Genomic DNA, 7,108 nt, shown 5'->3' with positions numbered 1-7,108 from the left:
GCCTCTGATATCTGAAGACCCCGGGAGGCCAAGCCCTGTATTTTTCCCCTTTCTGAGCAAACAGGAAGTCACATTGCTTTCACAGTCAAAGGACCAGTGTCACCTCTGTGGAGACCTGGGTGACTCAAGCTTGGGAGCACTGGGGAAGAGAGGCATGGCTCAGGGAGGCTGCAGTGAGGACTGGAGTGGGGAGGAGGGGGAGATGGAGGAGGAGGCCTGGGAGGGGCAGGGGGAACTTAGGCAGGGAGGGAGCTTGTAGTGGTGGGGGAGTGAAAAGAGAGATGGAGAAAGAGGGGATGGGCAGAAAGAGGAGGAGGAGTCAGGGGCAGGGCATGGAGGTGGGTGGGGCTGGGCTGCCAAAGCAGGATAAATGCACACCTGCCTGCTGGTCTGGGCTCCCTGCCTCGGGCTCTCACCCTCCTCTCCTGCAGCTCCAGCTTTGTGCTCTGCCTCTGAGGAGACCATGGCCCGGCCTCTGTGTACCCTGCTACTCCTGATGGCTACCCTGGCTGGGGCTCTGGCCTCGAGCTCCAAGGAGGAGAATAGGATAATCCCAGGTGGCATCTATGATGCAGACCTCAATGATGAGTGGGTACAGCGTGCCCTTCACTTCGCCATCAGCGAGTACAACAAGGCCACCGAAGATGAGTACTACAGACGCCCGCTGCAGGTGCTGCGAGCCAGGGAGCAGGTGGGTGCTGCCTCCACCCGAGGGGTCCTGAGCCCTAGCCTGGTTTGTTGCCGGACCCCCAAGAGCATTCCAAGCAAATCAACACTGACACATTCATGATCTAATGCTCAGATTCATTCAGCTTTCTCTGACTCTCCGCTGATGCCCTTCATGCCTAAGCATGCTCCCGGTCCATGCACTGCAGACAGTTAAAGGAAGTGCTGCAGCTTCCTTTAACCTGCAGCAGCTGCTGTGTCTGTACCATGACCGTGGCATTTCCCAGCGTCCAGCAGGTGTGGATGGAGACTGTGCTGACTCTGGGTGGGCTTGATGCTGCTCAGGATGAGATCCAGGCGGTGAGGCTCATTCTCCTCCCTGAGTCCTCTCCTCAGGGGCCACATGGGAACCTGGCTCCCTGTTCTGCAGAGCCCTTCTTCCTTCCCCAAGTCATGCCCTTGGGCACAGCCCCTTAGGGCTAGTGGCCTTCACCCTCAGGCAGGCTGACCCACCCCTGCAGGCCAGGATGGCTGAGTCCCTGCTGGGGTGGAGCACGCCTGGCCCTGCCTCTACGAGCTGATGCAGAGTTAGACCTCAGCCAGATGAGGACAGCAGTCACCCAGCAGAGCAGAGGAGGGGTTAGGTCCAGAGTGAGCTTCAGCAGGGCAACTGGGCCCAGCTTGACCTGCATCCCATGGCAGAGCAGCAAATAGTGACACAGCCTTTAGAGCTCCTCCACCTTCTAGAAATTCAAAGGAATCCAGACCAGTCCCGTTTCTCCTCCTACAGCTGTCAGCTGGAGCCCTCACCCTGCACAGGAGGTGCACTCCCTGGTGCCATGGTCCCCGCTGGCCTGCATCTCCCTCTTAAGCATGACAGTAACTTGGAGTGAAGCACAGGGCATTGCAGACCATCAGACCTGGAAGCCTATTTTATACATGGGTAAACTGATACTCGAGGGATCTCAGCAGTTCCTCCTGGTTCCAAAGAGTCCCTCATCCCAGGTTTCTCCACAGCTCTGCCACGTAGTGTCTGGGAGAGGCCCTGTGCAGGGAAAGGGTTCAATTATAATCTGCAATTGTAAGACACTCAGGTGTGCTGCTGACTTGAGAAACGTATCTTGAACCTCACACTTGAAATGGTGGCATCTGGGCGGCCCCATTGACCCAAAATATCTGTGTGTGTGAAGCATCTCATTTCCTACTCTAAGTGAAGTAATAAATCTAGGTTAAATGGAGGGAATAAGATTTTCGTGAGTTAGCTGAAATTTTGTCATCAGACAGCCTTCCTAGAAAAGAGTCAGTGTTCCCTCACCCCTGAGCCACAGGTAGCAGAATTCAATGAATCCTCTTACCCAGCACAGAGAAAACGATGTTTAAGAGCGGGCATGAGGCTCAGCACCCTGCCAGCTGACAGGAAGAGGGGGCTTGTGTGCCTTGTGTTGACATGTGGGCAGCTCACGAAGCCCCCAAGCAAGTCCAGTGACTCAGCCACAGTGAAGTGCCTGTGAGTGCATGAACTGATGGGGGCGCTGTCCGTGCTTCCTGTTTTCTCCTGTGTGCAGACCTTTGGGGGGGTGAATTACTTCTTCGACGTAGAGGTGGGCCGCACCATATGTACCAAGTCCCAGCCCAACTTGGACACCTGTGCCTTCCATGAACAGCCAGAACTGCAGAAGGTACGTTCCTGATGCGGGTCCCGGGCCAGTCATGCACTGCAGAGGGGTGCGTATGTGTCAGCCTCTGTCCTACCCATGTTTGGACGGTGTGTGTGTGCAGGTGGGTATGTGGGGAGCCGTGTATGCATGGATGTGTACGTGTTCATGTACTTATGGGGGGGTGTGCATGTAGGTGTGCATGTGGAAAGGTGCACGTGTGTACACACATGTGCCAGTGTGTGCGGGTAGGTGTATGGAAGCATGTGTGCCTGTGTGTGGGTGTGTGGCGGAAGTATGGGGGTTTGTACATAGATCCATGGGGATGAGGGGTCCAAGTGAGTTTACGTAGTTGCCTATGTGTGTGCAGATGGGGTGGTGAGGGAGGGGGTGATGTGTTTGATTTGCTAGGAAGGCTTTAGCTTGGGAATGGTTACTAGAAGGTCAACTGCCTGCTTTGGGGTGTTGCCTGTTGGACAGGAAGAATCACCTGCGGGGCTGGGTGCTGGGCAGGGAGAAGGGGATCTGTCTAATCCCAGCCTCAGGCACCTGCATGCAGCCAAAGCCACAATCAGATTAGTGGGACCTAGAGGCCTGTTAGCTGGGAAGCCCTGGACCTGCCCGGCTCACCCAACACCAGCCTCTCCAAGAACCTGCTGGTTCTTGTGAGGTCTCCACTCAGGGGAGAGCGGCACTCCCCTTGTTGCCCTTGACCCATGCCCCAGCTCTTTGAGGGGGAGTTGCCCTGCCCTGGGTTCTTCCCTCTGGCCCCTCTTAGTGCTGGCCTGGGTGCTGGAGGTGGAAGGAGCTGGGGGAACTGAGCCACCTCCCCATGTCCTGCACCCTTGGGGCTCCCGAGGCCTTGCCCAGGCTGCTCCTCACAGGGCTGTGATGGGACAGGACACTGCAGGCTGGGGTGGGGGCCCAATGCCACCTGGTGACTTGGAGCCTTGGGAGGGGTAATGGTACAGTCACTACTCATTCTAGTTCAGTGCTCTGGGACTCAGCAGGGGTGGGTGAGGGTGCAGTGTCTCACCTCCATCCTCCTCACCCAGGCTGTGACATCTCATGCCTGGGCATCTTCCCCTTTAACTGTAACCCACACTGATTGGCCCTCTCTCTTCCCTTTCACAGAAACAGTTGTGCTCTTTCGAGATCTACGAAGTTCCCTGGGAGGACAGAATGTCCCTGGTGAATTCCAGGTGTCAAGAAGCCTAGGGGTCTGTGCCAGGCCAGTCACACCGACCACCACCCACTCCCACCCACTGTAGTGCTCCCACCCCTGGACTGGTGGCCCCCACCCTGCGGGAGGCCTCCCCATGTGCCTGTGCCAAGAGACAGACAGAGAAGGCTGCAGGAGTCCTTTGTTGCTCAGCAGGGCGCTCTGCCCTCCCTCCTTCCTTCTTGCTTCTAATAGACCTGGTACATGGTACACACACCCCCACCTCCTGCAATTAAACAGTAGCATCGCCTCCCTCTGAGTTCTTGGCTGTCTGGGGATGTGCACACAGGCAGAGTTTCTGCAGTTCCTTTATGAAGCCTCCTTGTCCTGGTGGTGTGGAGATCACAGGAGTACCTGGGAGCTGATGCGGCCACAGCAAGGCCATCAGGGGAGCTGCTGCCACTTTTGGAGACCTCAGCTTCAGAACAGGGAGAGAGCAGCCAGGGGCTGGAAACCCAAGCCTTCAGCTGCAGCAGCCCCTGGCGAGGGGGTCAGGGAGAGGAGGGGGCCCAGGCAGCTGCCCCAGAAGCTGGGCTGGTGCTTTGGTCTGAGGTCCTGGTCAGACCAGGAGGAGGGGGCTGGTTGTGTCCACAGGCAGGGGCCAGGCCTCGGTGGAGCTCGCCAGGACGTAGATTCCATCTGTGCTTGCAGAGTGGAGCAGACTCCAGGGACTGAGCTGCTCTCATCAGATCCCCTAGACACTAAATAGACAGCGATTGACGTGTAGTTCTTTCCACAGGAGACTTTAGGACCCAACATGGAAACAAAGTCCAAAAGTGTGTGTGTGTGTGTGTGTGTGTGTGTGTGTGTGTGTAACTGATTGGGAAAAATGCCACCCAAACCAAAGATGGGCAGGATCACCCAGAGAAAGCAGAGCCTGCTGTCATCCATCCTGGGAGGGTGTGCCCCAGGCTGGGAGGTTGTCTCCTACGCTAGGAAGCTGTGCCCTAGAAGGGTTTTACACATTCTCATCCAGCCGCCCTTTCTCTAGACTTGGATTTAAAACCAGCACTCAGGTCAGGTTTCTTGGTAGGGATGGAGAAGCTAAAACACAAATGGAAGTGACATGCAGTGGACACTCGATTTTTTTCACAAAGGATGTTTTAATTAATAAATAACATCACCTTAGTGTCAAAACCATTCTGTAGAATAGTGGGTAGTTGCACTCCAAAGAAGAGGCTACAGTCCTAAGAGCCCGCCCACCCTGCATGGCCTTTCCCATTGCCATTTCAGGGCAGAGGGGTGCAGCCCTCAGGGCAGGTGCCTGTGGGAAGGGCTCTCAACTATCTTCCATGCCAAGAGCTGTGTTGACCAAGAGTGGCTGCCATGAACACCGAGGGGGAAATGACAAAGGGGAAACTGCCCAAACAGCCCTGAGGCCAGCACCCCATGTGCCGCACATAGAAAGCCAGGAGGAGAATGATCTGGTAGGGATAGTGGGGAGCACCTCCTTCATTTCCCCTCCACCCCCACGGGATTTAACCAAGGTTTTGGGTTGAAAAAAGTGAAGCAGCGCCCAGGAGGCCATGAGCTGAGGAGAATTGAGTCTGGGTCTCACCCGGTGTAGGGGGGTCGGGGGGTGCACACACTGATTCAGGCTTCTGTTGGAAAAGAGGGGCTGAGAGCAGAACAGCATGTGCCCAGGAATCGTGGTTAGGGGCAAAGTCTTCCCTGCATGGAGATCCTCATGGTTCTCTACCTGGTGGAGGGTCTGTCTTGACATAAGCAACCACCATCCAAGGACACAAGGAAAAGGTGATTTTCTGTAAACCAGTAACTTTTCTGACTTCTCTCTTCCTGGGGAAGTGGAGGGGAAAGTCTGGCTCTGTAGAGGGCTCCCTCCACCATCTCCCTGTGTGTCTGTTCCCTAGGTGGGGAGCAGGGGACAGCGAAGCTTGAAGGTGAGCATGTGGGTCTTTGTCTTCTGCACCAAGCTGAGGATCTGGGCTCTCTCTGGAAGCTACCGGGTTTTGGGAGTAAAAAAGTCTCCTAAGGGTCATGTTTTGGAAATATTGCACCCCTTCTAAGAGTTCCTTTAGCAAAAATAATGTCACATATTCTTGCTAAAAGTGTAAAACCACAGAGGTTAGAAATTCCACCTTCAGCATAGACAAATCACTCTGGAAGGAGAGATAAATCCAATGGAGGCCTGGGAAGCAGGAACAAGTGCGGTCATTCCTTGGGCAGGTGGATTCTCAGCACTATGACCACAGACAACCCAGGTTCCGTGAGGTCTGAGGCTTACATAATTCAGAGGGTTATCTGCATGAAAAATAGCATAATATAACCAATTTGAAACTAAGCACAGAAGTTAGTGTTTATTTAAGAAGAGGAAATAAGTCACAACAAATTACTCATTTTAAAGTCCTAATAAATACAACAATCATCCCAAATTCCAGAAAAATGATATACATCCTAGTGCGATCAGTCATCAAAACTGATTTTGCAGTTAACAGACTCAAGATTATTGGCTTATTGCAAAAAGGGAATAAATTCACATCAAGATATCTGGGATGATTCAAAAAACAAAGCAAAGAGGTTACTATAAGACTGTGGGGAGGGATTTTTGAGGCTGTAGTGATGGACTCAGAGCATGGCAGGCCTCAGTGTAAAGCAGCCAGTGTCAAGTCTCGTCTGCAAAGTGGACCTAGGTCCTGTGTCTTTAGAACCCATAAAGTCCAGCCAGATGTGGAACGTTCCATCCAGAAACCCCTTCTCTGTAGCTCTGTGCTTCTGTGTAAAGGTGGATATAGATCATCCAGGCAGTGGGATGTTCTTCTTACTCATAAGCAAAGTTTCTGACAGCCCCTGACACTAGAGAATAAGGTCTTCCATTGAGTCAGAAAGCAGTCCTCAGCCAAGGAAGAGGCTTCCTGACTTTTCAAACCTGCAGCTTGAGAGAAACATTGTTTCCTGTTCATGATGTCATTGGCTTTGTCCTCATCAGTCCATCCATGCACCTTGCAGATGAAAGGGCAGATTTGCCCTTCCTAAATTTGTGTTCTTTTTACTTGCTAACATAGCATTTTTATTAATTAGCTACTTGACACAGCAGTGTAATAAGTTATTTCTATGTTTTCATAGTCAACTATTGAGTCACAATTTGCCTCATCACATGACATTGATTTTATAATAGAATTTTCTATAAATATAGCAGAAAGGTAAACCAGTCTTTCCACTCAGTTTGATCACTTTAAAATTCTGATAAATACTACAATCATCCAAAATTATGAAATACTACAATCAATCCTACTTGTGAAAATCATGGTTTATAACATTTTCTTTCTGCTTCAAAACTCACATTGGTAATATTATGCAAATTTGTCTGGTTGTTGTCTAATTTGGAAAAGCTTCCAGTTTTCTTTCATGTGAGCACTAAGATTTTAGTACTTTCTAAATTTTCTTGACTTAAGATTGATGATCGTTAAGACTCTATTGACAATGATCACTAATCACAGCATTTTAAAACTCTCATTGTTGTAGTGGGCTTCAAAATTGTGCAAATGTATAATTATATCCTATATTGATTACCTTATGGAATGTGCAGAAAGAGTTTGTCCTGAAA

General features: G+C 51.7%; 1 protein-coding gene across 1 annotated transcript; it reads left to right on the top strand.

Annotated features, from left to right (window-relative positions):
• The first annotated feature begins 394 nt into the window (after positions 1-394).
• On the top strand, positions 395-3,793 carry CST4 (cystatin S). The gene is made up of 3 exons (NM_001899.3): positions 395-691; positions 2,232-2,345; positions 3,456-3,793. Exons 1-3 carry the CDS (start codon positions 464-466, stop codon positions 3,537-3,539), a joined length of 426 nt encoding a protein of 141 aa, NP_001890.1. The 5' UTR covers positions 395-463; the 3' UTR covers positions 3,540-3,793.
• Positions 3,794-7,108: the final 3,315 nt, after the last annotated feature.

Source organism: Homo sapiens, chromosome 20 (genome assembly GCF_000001405.40).
Source record: "Homo sapiens chromosome 20, GRCh38.p14 Primary Assembly".
Lineage (NCBI taxonomy): Eukaryota > Metazoa > Chordata > Mammalia > Primates > Hominidae > Homo > Homo sapiens.
Note: the sequence above shows the minus strand (reverse complement) of the source record. Positions and strands in the feature narration are given on the sequence as shown.